At 37.5% G+C, this 20160-nt stretch overlaps 1 protein-coding gene across 3 annotated transcripts in view; it reads left to right on the top strand.

Annotated features, from left to right (window-relative positions):
• The window catches only part of UBQLN1 (ubiquilin 1), a 47991-nt gene that overhangs the window by 2590 nt on the left and 25241 nt on the right, over positions 1–20160 (top strand). For all 3 annotated transcript variants that reach the window (NM_053067.3, NM_013438.5, XM_005251948.4), the window contains exon 2: positions 19214–19365. In NM_053067.3, coding sequence (NP_444295.1) covers positions 19214–19365 — 152 coding nt within the window. The remainder of the gene's footprint in view (positions 1–19213; positions 19366–20160) is intronic.

Below are 20160 nucleotides of genomic sequence, written 5' to 3'. Positions count from 1 at the left end.
CTGAGGCTGAGGCAGGAGAATCATCGCTTGAACCTGGGAGAGGGAGGTTACAGTGAGCCGAGATTGCGACATTGCAGTCCAGCCTGGGCAACAAGAGTGAAACTCCGTTTCAAAAAAAAAAAGGAGTGCTGGCTTCAGCAGCACATATACTGAAAAATGCTTGTATCATTTTACCATCCCGCCAATGAAGATACATGGGAGTTCCTGTTGCTCCATATCCCTGCTAACATTTTGATATTGTCAGTCTCTGTAATTTTAGCTATTTTAGCGGGTGTGTAGCCATATTAAGTTTTAAAGCTCTCGGATCTCTTTTCTAGGATTCCTAATTCATGCCTCCACCATCCTGGGTGCTTTCAGCATTTTACTGCAAAAGATTAGAAATAATCAGTATTTTATAAATAGAAAAATTCCTTTCAGTCAATATATGATGTTATAGCTGTGAGGATGTTTTTGCTTTTTGTGATGTTAAAATTATAAATTCTGTGAACGCTTTTATTTTACTCTGCTGTAACCAAAGTGAGATTTTTTTTTTTTTTTTTTTTTTGAGATGGAGTCTCTGTCACCCCCCAGGCTGGAGTGCAATGGCATGGTGTCGGCTCACTGCAACCTCCCCTTCCCGGGTTCAAGGATTCTCCCACCCCAGCTTCCCTAGTAGCTGAGACTACAGGCGCATGCCACACCACACCCGGCTAATTTTCCTATTTGTAGTAGAGACAGGGTTTCACCATGTTGGCCAGGCTGGTCTCGAACTCCTGATCTTGTGATCCGCCTGCCTCGGCTTCCCAAAGTGCTAGGATTACAGGTGTGAACCACCGGGCACCCGGCCCAGTACGAATTGTTAATAGATAAAATTAAAGTCTTTCTGAAGTAGCCTTTTCTGATGGTAGTTTATTTTTAAATTCTTGATCATTGTTTTATGTTGAAGCAGAAAATGTGATAAAAATTGACGCTTATCACCACACCAGAGAACCTGTAGACAAGTTGGGCTTTGTATATGCAAGGGAAACAGATACAGGAAAATGTGGAAGAAAAAGAAAAGCAGTTTTCAAATGACCTATTTGTAAAATCTACTTGAAGCACAAAAGATATGCCATTTTATAATTTAAAAATTTTAAAGGGTTTGATTGAAACTGTTTGTTACAAATGAAAATTTGTCATTAAAAATACTTAATGACATTAAAATTCCACTGAAAGTGTCCAGTTAGAAATTGGGAAATATTTAGTCTTTAAAATTTGTACCTAATTTTGGAGGGTCAGAGGGTAAGCCGAAGACCTCCAGAGGATAATATTGAAGGCTTATGCTCTGTATCAGACAAATTCCGTTTTCTATAAGTTAAAATTTCTTTCAATAAGTATTTCTATGTAATGTAGATTCCTTAACACATTATACCAAAATTCTGTTTATATGAACATGCTGTAATAAGTGATTAGATGAAATTACGTTAAACTTCTTGGGTAAATTGTAAGGTGGTAATTTATTTTCCTATTTTTCCATTGGTTTCTGGTCGTGAGTACCAACAGGCAGAAACAGGTTGCCTTAATTTTTTACAGTGCTATATACATTTGGTATTTAATAATGTTACTTGTTCAAGGTTACTAATAAAGCTTAAGCTTTTTTCCAATTTAGAGTGAAATTTATTATTCACGGAGCACTCAGAATCAACTGAGTAACATAAATTTTTACTTACAGGTTGCTAGAATAGGTAGTGAGAATATAAACTGCACTGTGTACATTCCAAGGTGCTGTCATTAATAGAGATTTTTGTAATACAGGTTTTGAGTATCCCTTATGGGAAATGCTTGGGACCAGAAGTGTTTGGGACTTTGGATTTTCTTTTTTTTTGGATTTTGGAATATTTGTATATACATAATGAGATATCTTGGGGATGGCACCTAAATATAAACATGAAATTCAGTTATATTTCATGTACATTTTATGCACAGAGCCTAAAGGTAATTTTATACAATATTTTAAATAATTTTGCGAGTGAAACAAACTGTATACATTGAACCATCAGAAAGCAAAGGTGTTACATATGGGATTTTTCCACATGTGATGTCATGGTGTTAAAAAATTTCAGATTTTGGAGCATTTCAGATTTCATATTTTTGGATTGGGGATGCTCAACCTGTATGTAAGTAAATAGATACAAAAGCATAAATGTGTAGTGGCACAAAGTCCCTGTGTATGAGATTTTTTTTTTTTGGTTAATTGTTCATCATCAGCTATTGAAAAGAGCTTTGAGGATTTCCAAGTATCCACGAGCAAGATAACATCTAGAAGAATGGAGAGTTATATATGTGAGACATTAGTGCAGATAATGGAGGGGAGTTTCTGTGTAACTTCTAATTAGCTTATTCTGGGATTTCATAGACTGTTAGGTTATGTGTAAAATTTTGAAGTACATTTACTTGAAATGTTCAGGCAGTATATACTCTGGTTTTAGAAAGTGCCTTCTGTCAGTGCAAACTTCTGGGAAAATATTAATATACTTAGACATAATTTAAACGTATTGAGTCAAATTGAGCCTTTCTTTGATAAGGCAACTTGCCTTAGGGTCATCATCACACACATGATTTAACGTTATACTGTATAGTGTGGATCTAGAACTATACTGTCCACTTTGATACCATCACCCACATGTGGTTAAGTACTTAAAAAGTGAGATGTGTTAAGTGTAAAATTTATACCAGATTTTGAAAATTTGGTATGAACAAAATAAATATCTTAATACTTTTGATATATTATGTATTGAAATAGTATTTTGCAGATCGTGAGTTAAGTAAAATATCAAAATTAATTTGACCTTTTATTAAAAACTTTTTTTTCAGTATGGCTGCTTAAAATTTTTAAATTACTTGTGGCTTATATATATTTCTGCTGGACAACATCTTATCCAGAAGGTTGGATTGAATCAGTATAGCAAGATATCTGAGAAAAAAAATGTCTGTGAGATCATTGTTTTCTTATTTGCTTTGTTCTAATACTGGACAGCTGAAAAACTCGTTATTTAATGATTCTGATTAACAGAGATTGCTTAGCTTTTTTTAAGAAAGAGCGTAATTGAAGTGTAATTTGCCTACCATACAGTTCACCATTTTAAAGTCTGTAATTGATGTAATACATTCACAGGGTCGTGTAGTCAATTTTAGAACGTTTAGAACCCTCAAAAAGAAACGCTGTACCCTTTAGCAGTTGCCCTTCGTTTCTCCCTGGGCCCCCCAGCCTTAGGCAACTACTGATCTATTTTTTGTCTATAGATTTGCTTGTTCTGGGCGTTTGTTGTAAGTGGAATCATGTGGTCTTTTGTGATTGGCTTTCACTTAGCATAGTGTTTTCAAGGTTCATCCCTGTTGAAGCATGTGCCGGTACTTACTTCCTTTTTATTGCCGAATAACATTCCATTGTGTTGCCAACAGCATTCCACATTTTATTTTTCTATCACGTGGTGGACATTGGGTTGTTTCTACTTTCTGGCTATTGTGACTAATGCCTCTGAACACTCATGTATAAGTTTTTGTGGGGACATAACGTTTTCATTTTTCTTGGGTGTAGATCTTGGAGTGGAAATTGCTGGGTCAAAGCTCTATGTTGAGCTTTATGAGGAGCTGCCAAATTATTTTCTAAGGTGTCTGTACCATTTTACATTTCCACTAGCAATGCATGAGGATTCCGATAACCACATTCTCGGTAATACTTATTACTGTCTTTGTGATTATAGCCATCTTACTGGCTGTGAAATGGTATCTTACTGTGATTATTTTGCTTTTTATTTTCATTATTATTTTTGCTGGGGGCACTCTGAGGAAAACTGGACAGCCTGCTAGACAAATTTGCTTTTTGTTATCTGAGCAGTAGTTCTCACTGTGGTTTGGGGAGTCCCCATACCCTGTTAAGGGTACCATGAGATGAAACTATTTTCATAGTAATTCTGAGATGTTATTTTTATTTTTCAGTCTAATTTTCTCAAAACTGGGCAGTGCACTTGGCTAGAGTCTTTAAGGTGTGGGATATGACAACAGATGTGAAAATCCAGCTGTCTTCTATTACAAGACTAAAGTGATTTCCAAAAATTTAAAATAATGCCACTCTTATCACTGAGAAAATAGTTATTTTTCATAAGGATGTTATTTTTATTAATATATAATGTATTATTTTTAAATGAATTTATTTTTAAAGGTTATTCAGTTTTAATTTGTAATATTATAAATATCAACAGCTATAACCTAAACAAGCAAAACTCTTTGGAGTTCTGAAGTTGTAAAATGGTGTCCTGAGAGCAAAAATTTCTGTGGTGGCGTATTTTATAGATTACGTACTTAAAATATCGGGTAGTGGCTCCAATAAGTTGCCATTACCTCTTGCCTAGAAACTGCAGTAGCCTACTGGTCAGTTGCCTGACTTCTATAACTCTCCCACCAGCCATTCCAAGAGTGATCTCTGAAAAACGTTAATCAGAGCATGCCACCCTCTGTGTAAAGCTAATGGCTCCCTGTTGGTCTTAGAATATATAATGGAGTAGCGAGGCCCTGTGTAATACGGTTCCATGCCCTCTCCATTTTTTGCAGATGCCTTCTTTCTTTGCTTGCTTGGCTGACTACATTGACCTTCTAGTTCCCTGACCTGTTAATACTTTTTTTCCTGCCTGAGGACTTCTGTACAGTTTGTTCTTGCTACCTAGAATGCAAGAACACTCTTTGCCCATTCCTTTTCCATCTTTAAATCTTAATGCAAAGGTCAGTTTCTCCAGGTAGTATCTATTTCTGATTGTCCAGACTGGATTGGGATCCCCTGTTGGATTTCTCACAGTAGCCTGTTTTTGATAAGAATTCATCACAACTAAAAATTGTATATTTATGTGATTCCTTCTCTTTAGAGAGGGGCTGTGATTGTTCACCATTGTGTTACCAGAGCCTAGGGCTCAATAAATTATTTACAGATGAATCTAGTCCATTATGTACAATAATACATATTCAGTAATAACTACTTATTGTTGAACCTTTACTGAGTGTAGTATGTACATAATCTGGTAGCTCCCAGTCCTTTTGTGGAAGCTTCCTCTTAAGCTGTTCCCCCCAGGTCACCACTCTCCAGGCACAACTCTTGACTGCTTCATGATGTTCACTCTTGCTTCTCTGCCTGGAACATTACTCTTCTAGAACCACCTTTCTTAGCTGGAGATTCTCATCTGAACCACAGAGCACAGAAAGTGATATGAATAGCTATCCATTTCTTTTCAAAGATGGTTCATAATGAATATAATTTTAGATGTATAGGAGAGAAGTTAATTCATTACATAGTGAGTGGTTTGTTGGTAAATGCTGGTTTATCAACCCGTTCTTCAGGAAAAACACTGATTTGTAGTGTTTGCTGGATTTCCATGATGTAAATATTCTCACTGTGGCAGATTTCAAGATACCGTTATTAAACTGGCTCACAAAATTTATGAAAATTTAAGAGCCATTGCTTATAATGGGTGCCTTAGGGCAGAGGCCAGCAAACTGGTAGTCGAAATCTATTGTGCCCATTTGCTTATGTGTTATCTATAGCTCCTTTCAGAATAGACCATGTGGCTGGTAGAGCCAAAAATATTTACTGTCTAGCCCGTAACAGAAAGTTTGCTTACCCTGGTATTAGGGCTTCCTGTTAATATATCTTGTTCATCAAAACACTTCTCATTGGAAATTTTTACCATGACTTATTTTTTATAGAAATACAATGTGAGCTGGGCTCAGTGGTTCATGCTTGTAATCCCAACACTTTGCGGGGCCAAGGTGGCAGGATTGCTTGAGCACCATGGCTCAGTGATCATGGCTCACTGCAGCCCCCACCTCCTGGAGTTCGAGACCAGCCTGTCTACAAAAAAATAAAAATTTAGCTAGGTGTGGTGGCACACACCTGTAGTCCCAGCTAGTCCAGCAAGGTTGAGCCCAGGAGTTTGGAGGTTACACTGAGCTATGATTGCACCGCAGCATTCCAGCTGTGGTGACAGAATGAGACTTGGTCTCTTAAAAACAAAAAACAGTATGAGCCACATATGTAATTTTCCTATTAGCCACTTTAATCAAAAGGAAGGACTGAAGTCAATTTTTCAATAGTGGTGACTCACACATAACAAAATTTATCATGTTAACCATTTTTAAGGGTTCACTTCAGTGACATTAAGTACATTCACATTGTTGTACAATTGTTACCACCATCCGTTTCCAGAACTCATCTTGCAAAACTGAAACCCTGGACCGTTTAAACAGTAACTCCCCATTTTCCCCATTCCCCCACCTCTAGCAACCACCATTCTTCTTTCTGTCTCTGAATTTGACTACTCTAGGTATTTCATATAAGTGGAATAAGACAGTGTTTGGCCTTTTGTGATTAACTTATTTCCCTTAGTATAACGTCCACAAGGTTCATTTATGTTGTAGCATGTGTCAGAATTTACTTTTTTTTTTTTTTTTGAGACAGGTCTCACTTTGTCACCCAGGCTGGAGTGCAGTGGCACAATCATGGCTTGCTGCAGCCTCCACCTCCTGAAGTTCAAGTGATCCTCCTGCCTTAGCCCCCCAAGTAGCTGGGACTGCAAGCTCACATCACCATGCTTGGCTACTTTGTATTTTTTTGTAGAGACAGGGTTTCACCATGTTGCCCAGGTTGGTCTCAAACTCCTGAGCTCAAGCGATCTGCCCCCTTGGTCTCCCAAAATGCTAGGATTATACAAGTGTGAGCCACCGCACCCAGCCAGAATTTACTGTGTATGACTGAATAATATTCCATTATATGTATGTACCACATTTTAAAAATCCATTGATCTGTTGCTGGTCGCTTGGGTTGCTTCCACCTTTTGGCTATTGTAATTTTAATATGCTTTATTTAACCCAGTATGTCTAAAATATTTTAAGGTGCAATTGATATAAAGACTATAAAATATCTTGCATTTTGAAATACTAAGTCTTTGAAATATATTTTGTAATTTACACTTAAGCATACCTCAGTTTGAAGTAGCCACATTTCAGGTGCTTAATAGCCATATGTAGCTAGTGACTGCTGAATTAGCACAGCTAATAAAGCTTTCAGGATGTGCTTCCACCTGCCTTTTCTCCTGTTTTCATTGCATTTCAGCCAGTTTGTATTGTCTCTTCCCCTACCCTCAAATATCACTGGCTCTTTCTTCCCCTTTTTGAACCTTTGCAAATGCTGTTAATGACAATGACATAATGGCCAATATTTATTGCAGGCATGATTTATAAGGCATGATGCATTATATTTTTTTAAAATGTCACATAACTTTATGATGAAAGCACTATTATTATCCTTTTTTTAAAAAATGAAGATGCTGGCCAGGCATGGTGGCTCATGCTGCTAATCCCGGCACTCTGGGAGGCCGAGGCGGGTGGATCACATGAGGTCAGGAGTTTGAGACCAGCCTGACCAACATGGAGAAACCCCGTCTCTACTAAAGATACAAGATTTGCCAGGTGTGGTGGTGCATGCCTGTAATCCCCAGCTACTCGGAAGGCTGAGGCGGGAGAATCGCTTGAACCTGGGAGGTGGAGGTTGCAGTGAGCTGAATCGTGCCATCGCACTCCAGCCTGTGGGATAAGAGTGAGACTTCGTCTCAAAAAAAAAAAAAAAAAAAAGGGTACAAAAAATAGCCGCGTGTGGTGGTGCATGCCTGTAGTCCCAGCTACTTGGGAAGCTGAGGTGGAAGAATCTCTTGAATCTGCGAGGCAGAGGTTGCAGTGAGCTGAGATCTTGCCACTGCAGTCCAGCCTGGGCGACAGAGGGAAACTGTCTTTTTTTTTTTTTTTTTTTTTTTTTTGAGACAGTGTCTTGCACTGTTGCCCCGGCTGGAGTGCAGTGGTGCAATCTCAGCTCACTGCAACCTCCGCCCCCTGGGTTCACACAATTCTCTTGCCTCAGCCTCCTGAGTAGCTGGGATTACAGGTGCACACCACCACACCCAGCTAATTTTTTGTATTTTTAGTAGAGACGGGGTTTCATTATGTTGGCCAGACTGGTCTTGGACTCCTGACCTCATGATTCGCCTGCCTTTGCCTCCCAAAGTGCTGGAATTACAGGCGTGAGCCACCGCGCCTGGCCTATGTCTTAAAAAAAAAAAAAAAAACCAGAAGATACTGAGACTCATATTAATAATGTGATCAAATTCATACACATATTAAGTAGTAGACTGTAGATTCAAACCCAGTACAAACTTGGGAGGCCTCACCGATCCACTGCCCCAAACTGCCTTGACTTTCCTTTGACTGGCTTTTCAGTCTTTAAAGTTCATTGAATAGCTAGGTGTGGTGGTGCAAGCCTGTAGTCCCAGCTAATTGGGAGGCTGAGGTGGGAGAATTACTTGAGCCCAAGAGTTCCACGCCAGCCTGGGCAACATAGCAATACTCTGTATCTTTTTTTAAGAAGTTTATTTAAATATTAGTTCATCAGAGGGTAATTGGACTCATCAGTCTATGTCAGATCATTGATTATAATCTCTGATAATATTTTGTGATTATATGGATTGTCTCCTTCACCCAGCCCCCCTGCCCCCGAGTACTGTAAGAACTTCAGGGGCAGGGACTGTTTTGCTTACTTTCTAATCCCATGTTGCCTAGCATTGTGTCCTGGGCACACACTGAGTAGACAAGTATTTATTGAATGACCAAATAGTGTTTTAAATATTTATCTGCAATATTTTGTACCTAGTTGGGATTTTTTTTTTTTTCCTTTTTTAGACAGAATCTTGTTCTATCACCCAACCTGAAGTGCAGTAGTGCGATCACAGCTCACTGCAACCTTGATCTCCTGGGCTCAAGCGATTCTCCCACTTCAGCTTCTGAAGAAACTGGGACTGCAGGCGTGCACCACCTTGCCCAGCTATTTTTCTTATTGGGTTTTTTTTTAAAATTTTTTTGTTTGTTTTTATAGAGACAGGATTTTGCCATGTTGCCCAGACAGGCTGGTCTTAGGAATATTTTAACAATGTGATTTTGAAAAAGTGTGTTTATTCTTAGTCAACTTAAGTGTCTGATGGCATTATTACAGTTACTTTCCTGTACCAGCAGCTGCAACTACAAAAAAGATAAGAGAGGTGATAGATATATTAGCTTGATTTAGTCACTCCACATTGTTTACATATATCAAGACATCATGTTGTACTTTATAAGTGTATACAATCATGATGGCAGGCGGATTATGAGGTCAAGAGTTTGAGACCGTCCTGGCCAACATGGTGAAACCCTGTCTCTACTAAGAATACAAAAATTAGCTGGGCGTGGTGGTGTGCACCTGTAGTCCCAGCTACTGGAGAGGCTGAGGCAGGAGAATCGCTTGAATCCGGGAGGTGGAGGTTGCAGTGAGCTGAGATCGTGCGACTGCACTCTATCCTGGCAACAGAGTGAGACTCCGACTCAAAAAAAAAAATTAATTTGAAAAGTGAAGTGAAACTATACAAATACCATTAAATTGAGATTAGGAGCTTTTTTTAGAGACTGAAGTTGATACTTAAATCTGCTGTTTGCAGAGACTGTTGGATTAGCATACTTCACAGATTCTATTTATTATAGGCATGAAAATATATGTGTGTATTTGCAGAATATTGTTGCTAGACCTGAACTCTGATTTTTCCAGGTAAATTTATACAACTATGAGTTAGTTTGATGTCCTGTAGATATGGCAACAGTCTGCCTGGTTTACTGGTTAAGCAGCTGCCATATAGATGTCTAAAACTTGGGGGTAATTTTTTTTTTTAACTCTTTAAAGCTCTCTCCAGTTTTCTTAAAGGATATAACTTTTACATTTAAAAAATACCTTTTACATATTTTTGCTTTAAAATTAAGAAATTCAAATGATGTTGAAAAGTATAAAAAAGGGGACTGGGCATGGCGCCTCACGCCTTTAAGTCCAGCACTTCGGGAGGCTGAGGTGGGCAGATCACAAGGTCAGGAGTTCAAGACCAGCCTGGCCAATATAGTGAAACCCCATCTCTACTAAAAAAATAAAAAAATTAGCCAGTGTGGTGGGGAGCACCTGTAGTCCCAGCCACCTGGGAGGCTGAGGCAGGAGAATCACTTGAACCCGGGAGGTGGAGGTTGCAGTGAGCCAAGATGGCGCCACTGTACTCCAGCCTGGGCGACAGAGTGAGACTTAGTCTCAAAAAAAAAAAAAAAGGTGGGAGGGCCCATTCAGGATAAAAGGTAAAGTTAACTTTTTTTTTTTTTTGGGTGATTCTGTCCAGAAAGGTATTTATATGTTCATATATAATTTTTACCTTTTGTTAAGCAAATGGGGTCAACCACCCACAATTTTCTTTATCTTACTCGTTCTACTTGTGTTACCTTGGTAGTCTTTCCATATAGAACTAGCTCATTAGACTATTACTTATTATTTTTATGATTTATTGTTTTGGTTTGCTTATTAATATTTTGAGAAAGGAGAGCATGAACCTTAGAATTGGAGAAATCTGATGATGGGTAAGGAGCTTTAATCATCTCAGCCTCACTGGCTACATTTTTAACATATCGTGTAATACCTGCTTCAGTACATTGTTTGGAGGATTTTGTGACATCGTATGCATAAAGTACCTGACTCAGAGTTTATATGATTTACTTATATTGGTTTCTTTCCCCACAGCCTTTTGTTCACCGGTGAATTGAGTTTTAAGTTTTTGCAATAGAAGGAAGTATATCTATCCTAGCATGTGAATAGTGAAACATTTAGTTTGTTATTCTTGTCAGATTTAAATTAGAGAGAATCTAAAAAATAAATTTTCTGAACGATACACTAACATTTGTGGCTGTGTACAGTTTTATGAGAGAGTGCCCCTTTCTCATACGTGTTACATATTCAGTGTAGTAGTTTCTCATACTTGGCATCCTTGTATAAAGGGTTATGCAGTGTTTTAAATAAGACTACTATAAGGTTAAACATCAGACTCTTGGAGAATGATAACTGACAGAACCATGTATATGGATGATTTATGGACTTTTTTCAAATACTATTAGCAATATTGAGTAAGGAGCTAATTCAAAAATAGACTCTTGAAGGATCTCTGCCTTAAAATACTGAAATAGCAAAGATTTGAATACAGTATTCAGATAACTATTTAGAGAATCCTTGCTAAATGCTGTTAATATGTGATTCTGCGGGAAATGAAATTGTGTGTGTTTTATCTTCAGAGCTGAAGTAAATTTTACTTTTGGATAGGTTGATTCCCAACTCCCCGGATGTTTAATAGGTGAGATGGAGAATGGTTGTTTAAAAGCAAGTTTGGATGTTTGGATTTTGAAATGTTTGTAAAGGGTGACAATGTTGCTTTTAAAGTCAGATTAACTCCATTTTCAGAGTGTTTACAGTTGAGAGTTTATCCTTGCATAATTAGATTAGCAATATTTGAATGTCTTAGTGAATGAATTGTGCCCAGGAAATTTCCGTATGTCTCTTAATTCTCCCATCAGCCCTGCAGAATAAGTATCTCTATTCCTGATGAAGAAACCAAGGCTCAGAGACAGGTAACATCCTCCAGGTCACACAACTAGTATGTAGCAAAACCAAGATTTGAATTCAGGCCTACATGTTTCAAAAATACTCTTTCCTAACCTTGATTCTCCTCTCTTTCCTCCATATGTGTGTCTTATTTTCTTCTCAAAAACAATTGAGAACAGGGAGTAAGCAAAGTCAGCCCTCAGCAGCTGAGATTGGCACCATAAAAGTTGATACACTAAATCTTGATACATTTTCATTTCAGGGCAGCATTTCACATTCTCTGCGTACTCTTATTTGATACGGTTTTCTAACTTCTCTTAATTATTTGCTGCTTCTTCCTCAGATTAAAAATAGAAAATTTAGGGGAGAAAGAAGGTATGCTTTCAAGACAAGAACTTGACAGTCTGGTTAAAAAAAAAATAAGAAAAAGAAAAAGGCAGATACAAGATACCTTGAGAGTCTGGACAGTTATCACTATATTGCAGAACAGCAGTTGATATTCACACCAGTAACTCAGCATTATCAAAAGTTAAAATTACATTCAGTAGAATGGAAAACAATTTTGGTGCTCAAACAGAGGTAACCTTCAGTTAGCTGGAGAATCCACTCATGTGCAACACCTGGCTTTTGGATGATGTTGAAAAAAATGGGGTTGCTGAAAGTTGTTTTGTCTGTGCTGGGTTCATTTTGAAATCATTACATTGCTTATTCAAGGTGCATTAGAATTTTGATTCTTATGGTTGTTGAGAAAGAGTTTAGTAATTCTCAGCTTTCAGTTCTCTGGCCTGTAGTTATTGTAGGTTATCAGTGCAAGACCAGAGTTGGATGTACATTTGTAGGAAATATGGATACTTTGAGGCCCGTTCTATCATGTATCTTTCATTTTGAGTTAATAGTGACCACATAGGCTTAAGGATAAAAATAAGTTAATCTAGGTAATCTTTTTAATGGAAATTACAAAAATTCTTCCTTTATGGTTCTGGCTATTCCCTAGATGAAAATATTTTTTTATTATTGTTGTTATTATTATTTTTAAAACGGAGTTCCGCTCTTGTTGCCCAGGCTGGAGTGCAATGGCATGATCTCAGCTCACCACAACCTCCACCTCCCGGGTTCAAGCGATTCTCCTGCCCCAGCCTCCCAAGTAGCTGGGATTACAGGCATTTGCCACCATGCCTGGATAATTTTGTATTTTTAGTAGAGACGGGGTTTCTCCATGTTGGTCAGGCTGGTCTCAAACTGCCGACCTCAGGTGATCCGCCTGCCTCGGCCTCCCAAAGTGCTGGGATTACAGATGTGAGCCACTGCGCCTGGCCGAAAATATTTTGTATAATTGTAATAAGTTTTATTTTTCTGCAGAGGAATAGTGTCAGTGAGCTACCTCTGTCTAAACAGCTTTGAGATTTTCTAAGATGGCTAATTAAGTTTTTCCATATCAATACTATTTAGTTTCTGATTCCTGCTGTTGTATGATAAAAGTGTAGATTAAACAGACAAGGAAGTTACGTTCAAATGTTAGTGATAAAATTTCTAGAAATTTTGAAGACAGTGTAATCTGAAAACTTTCTCTTTATTCTGTAGGAAGCAGAATAGAAGTAAAAGATATTTGAAGTACGTGCAGAATTTTTAGCTGTAGGACAAATTCCATTTAGATAAAAACACTACATTATTTAACTTGATTTAATTTTCTAAAATATGGTTTATTCGGAAAAGTGTACCATATCTGGCACGGTACAATTAAACTTAAGATTCTTTTACCTTTGTTTCAAATAGAGTGGCAGACAGCTAAACTTACAAAGTTGCTTATTTCTTGGTTTTTGCTTGCTTGTTCCAAGTTTTGTATATTTTTTACTCAGAACAAATCAATTTAACAGTAGCCTTCTACTTGGAAGTGGTTCTAGTATCTAAATTAGGTGACATTGGTGGTTTGAAATTTAAAATAAGAACTGAATTATGAATGGTAGTCATATGCAGTTGTCTGTAGTTCCCTAGAACTGTACTGTATGCTATCACCATTTTTAACATGTTTTCCAACTTTTAGCATGAAGTGCCATAAATTCATACTTCAAGACTAAGATACCCCTCCAGAACCAAGAGTTCCATGAGGTTGGAGGATCCCAGTATCTATGACATTAATTGTCAACAGCTCTGTAATTTTGTGAGTGAACGTGATTTCTCACGTGTCTGTCAGGACTTTGGTTTGGTTTCTTGAGGTTTTGTTGTAAGGAGTGAATGTGAAAATGTGTGTGTGGTGCCAGGTACAGCATAGCTGTGTAATAATGATTAATGGAGGTAATTTTCGAATGTGTGGTGTAGTGTCCTACTCTACTGCATCTAGGACATTGTAGAGAAGCCCTTAGTCTGTCCAGAAAGCCCTGATTATCCTTCAGGTACTGATACTGACAACTCATGGTTAGGAGACTCCTGTCTTTAAATGTTACCAGAGGTTCAAGTGAGCTATATTCATTGCTGTTCTATTAGATTTTGAGATTACAGCTGTTTTGGATATCAGGTTTTAATTGTCTCTGCCACATACGATGTTAATGGATCATCTTTTAGCCTTTGGTGATTATCTCTGTTGTCATTTTCATGTCTTATATCCAGTCTGGTCTGCTACCTAAAACTAAGTTCTCTTCATTCCATTTCCTTTCAGTTGACCTGCCCAAGATGAGGCATATATATATATATGTATTATATGTGTATATATATATGTATATATTGTGTTTGTTTTTTATTTTTTTTATTTTTTTGAGACGAGTGCCTCTCTGTCACCCAGGCTGGAGTGCAGTGGCGCGATTTTGGCTCACTGCAATCTCTGCCTCCTGGGTTCAAGTGATTCTCGTGCCTTAGCCTCCCGAGTAGCTGGGATTGCAGGTGTGTGCCACGATGCCTGGCTAATTTTTGTATTTTTAGCAGAGACGGGGTTTTGCCATGTTGGCTAGGCTAGTCTCGAATTCCTGACCTCAGGTGATCCACCCGCCTTGGCCTCCCAAAGTGTTGGGATTACAAGCGTGAGCCACTGCGCCCGCTCCCATTGAGGCATATTTTAGCTTTGGGGAAGGGAATAATTTGAAATTGAAATACTAAGGAGAGCTGGCTGTGTTTCGACTTCTTGATGTTTCTGTTCTTGTTTTTTTTTTTGAGACAGAGTCTGGTTCCATTGACCAAGCTGTTGACCAAGCTGGAGTGCAGTGGCACGATCGTAGCTCACTGCAGCCTCCAACTCCTGGGCTTAAGCAGTCCTCCCATGTTGGCCTCCCAAAGTGCTGAGGTTACAGTCATGAACCACCACGCCCAGCCCCTGCTGCAGCTTAAAAGTTCACAGCCAACTTTTAAAACTATTTTTATTAAAGTACAGTATAGAGGAATACATGTGTCATAAATGTACAGGTTCGTGTTTTAGCCTAAAGGTCGAGAAAGTAGAACATGATACCAACTCCCAAGAAGTCACTTGCAAACTTAAGGTAACCACTATTCTCACTTTGGGCACCATGGATTTTGTCCCCAACCCTTAAAAAAACGAAAAAACTCACATAAATGAAATCATACAATTTATATTCATTTGTGACTGGCTTTTTCGCTCGTGTTGAGGTATCCGTGATGATATGTGGCAGTAGTTCATTTGTTGTCATTGGGGGTAATCTATCAAATGACTATACTATAGTTTATTTTACAGTTGAGGGACATTTGGATTGTTTGCAGTTTTTGGCCAATACAAGTAATATTGGTTCAAATGTTGATTGTATTTTTTGTGGACATGTAGTTTGTTAAATAGTGGAATTGTTGGGTCATAGGGTAAGCATATGTTCAACTTCTGTTGCAAAATGTTATTCCAAAATGTACTGATTTATACTTGTACCCACAGTGTGTGTGGTTTCCAGTTGCTCTGCATCCTCTGTAACGCTCTTTAACAGTCTTAAACTGAACCATTCAGTGCATTTGTTACTGGTTTTAATTTAAAGTTACCTGTGTTGTTTGCCATTTAAATGAAAAGGATTTCATTTTTGTGAAATTCCTGTTTCAATTTCTTGGCCATTTTTCAATTGGGTTGTGTTTCTTGGTGATTTGTAGACATTATGAAATCTGGATTTGAGCTGTGCTGGTTGTGTTGCAAATTGTCTCTTTAAGGGCTTATCTTTTTACTCTGCTAATGATAGTCCAGTATATGGTGCCCCTTTAAAACAATGGTTAGGTCTTTTTGTATCCCACTTAGGTCATCTTTTCCAATTGATCAACACTTGATTTCTTGTTATCTTTTTGGTAGTTTAATTGCATGTGGTCACAGAGTACAACTTGGTCAGATTTTAATTTTTTGAAATATGTTGACTTTCTTTATGGCCCAGCATATGTAGTCTAATTTAGTAAAGGCACTTAAAAAGAATGCTTATTCTGTAGTTGTTGGGTTTGGTGATCTGTGTATGCTCAATTAGGTCATATGTTAATTGTTCATAGCTTTTCTATTTTTACTAATTCATTTTTGCCCATTTAGTCTGTCAGTTTCTCTGAGATAAATGTATCACATTGTTTATAATAGCCAAAAGGCAGAAACAACCCAAATGCTCATCACCTGATGAGTGGATAAGCAAAATAGGTGGTATATTCATACAATGGCATACTATTTGGCCATAGAAAGGGATGAAGTATTGACACATGCTGTGACATGGGTGAATCTTGTAAACATGCCAAGTATAAGAAGCTAGTCACAAAGACCATATGTTATAATATTGCATTTATATGAAATACTCGTATGGAAACAGAAAGTAGAAATTACTGGTTTCTTATGGTTGGAAGTGATGAGCCATAGGTGGGTGATAGCTGTAGGGTATAGATTTTTTTGAGGTAATGAAAATGTTCTGAAATGGATTGTAACACATGTCTGTGAATACTCCAGAAACCATTGAATCGTATACTTTAAATGAGTGAATTACGTGGTATGAGTTATGTCTCCATAAAGCTTAAAAAATACTATTTTTTGGTAGGTATTTGAAAGGATGTAAGAATAGATGCATGTCTTTTTTTTTTTTTGAAACGGAGTTTCGCTCTCATCGCCCAGGCTGGAGTGCAATGGTGCAATCTCGGCTCACTGCAACCTCTGCCTCCCAGGTTCAAGCAATTCTCCTGCCTCAGCCTCCTGAGTAGCTGGGATTACAGACATGCACCACAATGCCCAGCTAAGTTTTGTATTTTTAGTAGAGACGGGGTTTCACCATGTTGGCCAAGATGTTCTCTATCTCCTGACCTGTCATCTGCCCGCCTCGGCCTCCCAGAGTGCTGGGATTACAGGTGTGAGCCACTGCACCCCGCCCGATGCATGTGTTTAATCTAGTATCTTACCTTCAAATCCTAAAATACAATAAAATGCTATATAACTGTATGTTCAGTAATTAAGTCACTTATTTCAGAATAACGAGGGATATCAAAAATTTTGGAAAGCATTTCTGAGTTTAAGGTTAAGAAACACAAATCTAGTTTTACCCTCTCATTTTGCATATGAAAAATAGTTAATCTGGATAGGTTTGTCTTTGAAGTCAAATCTAAGTTTGAATCCTAACTACCAGTTTATTAGCTGTATCAGTGTGAGGGGAAGGGAGACATCTGTAACCTCTTTTTCTGTGTCTGAAATAGGATTAAAAACTCTCTTCCTCGAAAAATTGTTGAGTATTAAGAGAACTGGCATAGTAGTAGCTACCATTTATTGACTACTGCCTATATACCTGATGTTTGCATTTATATACATTCTCGTTTAATTCTTACAAACCATGTGTTCTGCCATTCATTATATTACTATTTCGGATAGGTACTAAAGGGAAAAATGAGATGTCTAATAATGGGAGTATAGTTAAATTATGACCTGTTTCTAGATATAGAATATCATGCAAATGGTGTTCTGTGAAGATTTTCTGTTAGTTACTTGGAAATTGCTTATCTTAGATAAAAGGATTATATATCATAGGATTTCAAATAAAGGAAAGAATGCAGATGGAAAAGCTTCAAAATATTTACTGAAGTATAGTTTTGTGTTATCTTTATGCTTTTTTGGTTATTTTTCAAAATGTTAGCAATGTGTATGGGAGTTGACAAAGGTAAAACAGATTTTTTAAAAATCAGTTGTTTATATTGGCTGTTGTAAATTGATTATGGAAAATTTTGTTCATACACAAATGTAGAGTGTTAGGAACTTTCATGCACCTATCTCTGATTTTCAACAATGATATATAGCTTATCATGTTTTTTATATATGCCTTCCCTTCCTTGTCCCCACAAGATTTTTTAAATCTCAGACATTCTGTCATTTAATGTCTTTCCGTTTATCGTGACAACCAGAAGAATGCCCCTATATATTTCCAAAACACCTTCTTGGCAGCAATTTCCTTATCTGTTGAGATCCACTGCTGTGGGACAGTGAGGTAGAGTGGTTTGAAGATGTGATTCTTTTCTGAATTTGGACTGATTTCTTGAGCCAGTCTTTTAATGTAGATTCCTGGGCCCACTCTGAAGCTTTCCTATTTGGACAGTCTGGTAAAGCCTAAGCATACTGGTGATTTTGGTAAAGATCTGAGAATAGTATAAGTAAGTGTTTCTTTATAGCATGATGCTCTTTTCTCTTGTCTGGTTTTATGTGTCTGGTCCCTGGAAAGCCTTTCTTCAGGTTTTATCGGCTACTTTCTTTAGTAGTCTTTCTTTAGTTTTCACTTAGGGAAAGCTTTCCCTGACTTCCCTTTATGCTTCCTTTGGACTTCATGGTTTTACTTGACTCTCATTGGACTGCTCACCTTCAGGGAGAGTTGTGTCTTTTATCTTTGATTTTCCACAGTACTGCTTGTTAATAAATATTGAATAAAGTAAGTGGGAAGGATGGTCAGTATAATACAGATTAAGTATACTTTATCCAAAAACTTTTTTTTTTTTTAAACAGACAGACTTGGGACCAGAAGTGTCTCAGATTTCAGATTTTTTTTTCTTTTTTTGTTTTTTTGGATTTTGGGATATTTGCCTTATATACTTAATGGTTCAGCATTCCTAATTTGAAAATCCAAAGTTGGAAAATGCTCCAATGAGCATTTCCTTTGAGTGTCATGGATACTCAAAAGTTTTGGATGTTGGTGCATTTCATATTTGGGGTATTTGCATTAGAGATACTCCACCGCTAGGCCAAGAATATGAGATTGGCTGTGTATACTGTATTCAACTAGAAAGAAAGGAACAGGACTGAAGATAGAAGTCTGAGGAATGGATTATTTTGGACGTGGTAAGAGCTAACTGTGGCTCGAACTAAATTTGGTCTCATTAACATAAAAAGAATAAGGATATTGGGAAGCAATGCATTGTTAGGCCTTAGCAGAGGATCGAATATAGGATATGTGCACCTATAGTAGGACCTTTGTGTTAGAGATGAAGTAATAATCATTTCTTACTAACATCAAGATACTGACATAAAAAGGATGCATCTCTGTATTGTTTTGAATTGGGGATTTTTTGTTTTGTTTTGTTTTTAGAGGCGGGATATCACTCTGTCACCCAGGCTGGAGTGCAGTGGTGTGATAATAGCTCACTGCAGCCTCGAACTCCTGGACTCAGGCAGTCCTCCTGCCTCAGCCTCCTGGAACATTGGGATTATGGTGTTTGAATTGTAGCGTCTGTAGTAGGGGCCTCTATGAGGTACCTGTAGAAACTAGACTGTATGGTGCTGTGCAAACAACTGTAATACATACTTATTTTATTTTTATTTAGTTTAAGGAAGAAATCTCTAAACGTTTTAAATCACATACTGACCAACTTGTGTTGATATTTGCTGGAAAAATTTTGAAAGATCAAGATACCTTGAGTCAGCATGGAATTCATGATGGACTTACTGTTCACCTTGTCATTAAAACACAAAACAGGTATGGTTTTGGAAGATGTACAGCTTTAAAATTGTGGATAAATGTTCGTACTTCTAAAAGTAACTAGTGTTGGCTGTAAATTACTTTCCCTGTCATTAATATTTAAATAGTTAAAATTCTTTCCTTGCTGTCGATAACAATTTTTTTAAAAAGTGTGATTCCATGTTAATGCTTACGTGATTGTCAGATAACCATTTCATATTTTACAAGGTTCATTGGTATTTAGTTATTATACCTAAATTATTTGCATTAGAACAGGCAAGTTTTTAGCTTTTCTTTTAGTAAGGAAATTTTTAGACAAAGATCATGAGTAACTTATCTCCTTAGCAAACCACGAATTGATAATCATATTTCTTTAAGTCTAAGGAACTTTTTTTTTTTTTTTTTTAAGAGACAGAGTCATGCCATGTTGCCCAGGCTGGGCTCAAGTGATGCTCCCATGTCAGCCTGGGACTGTAGGTGCGTGCCACAGTGTCCAGCTGGCACCACCAGTTTTAAAGAGATACCTTTGTGTATCACTAAGAAAGAATACTGCTAACTGAATTGATGTTTTCTTGTCACTTAAAATGTTTATTTTATACTTAGTGAAAGAGCTCCTTTAGACTTACATGGGTATGGAATTTTATCATATCACTCTTGCATAACATACGAAGACTTAGTTGTCAGTGTCCATATTTTTTCATACAGTATCAAACTCTGTTCTGTCAAGAGTGTTGGTGGTGTAGCATTGCTTAAAAGAGCTCTCCAGTATTTTCTCCAGGATTTTGTTCCAAGCCATTAACACTCCTGTAAGTT

The sequence above is a fragment of the Homo sapiens genome, chromosome 9, assembly GCF_000001405.40.
Source record: "Homo sapiens chromosome 9, GRCh38.p14 Primary Assembly".
In the NCBI taxonomy this organism is placed as follows: Eukaryota; Metazoa; Chordata; class Mammalia; order Primates; family Hominidae; genus Homo; species Homo sapiens.
This window is presented reverse-complemented; position numbering and strand designations above follow the sequence as displayed.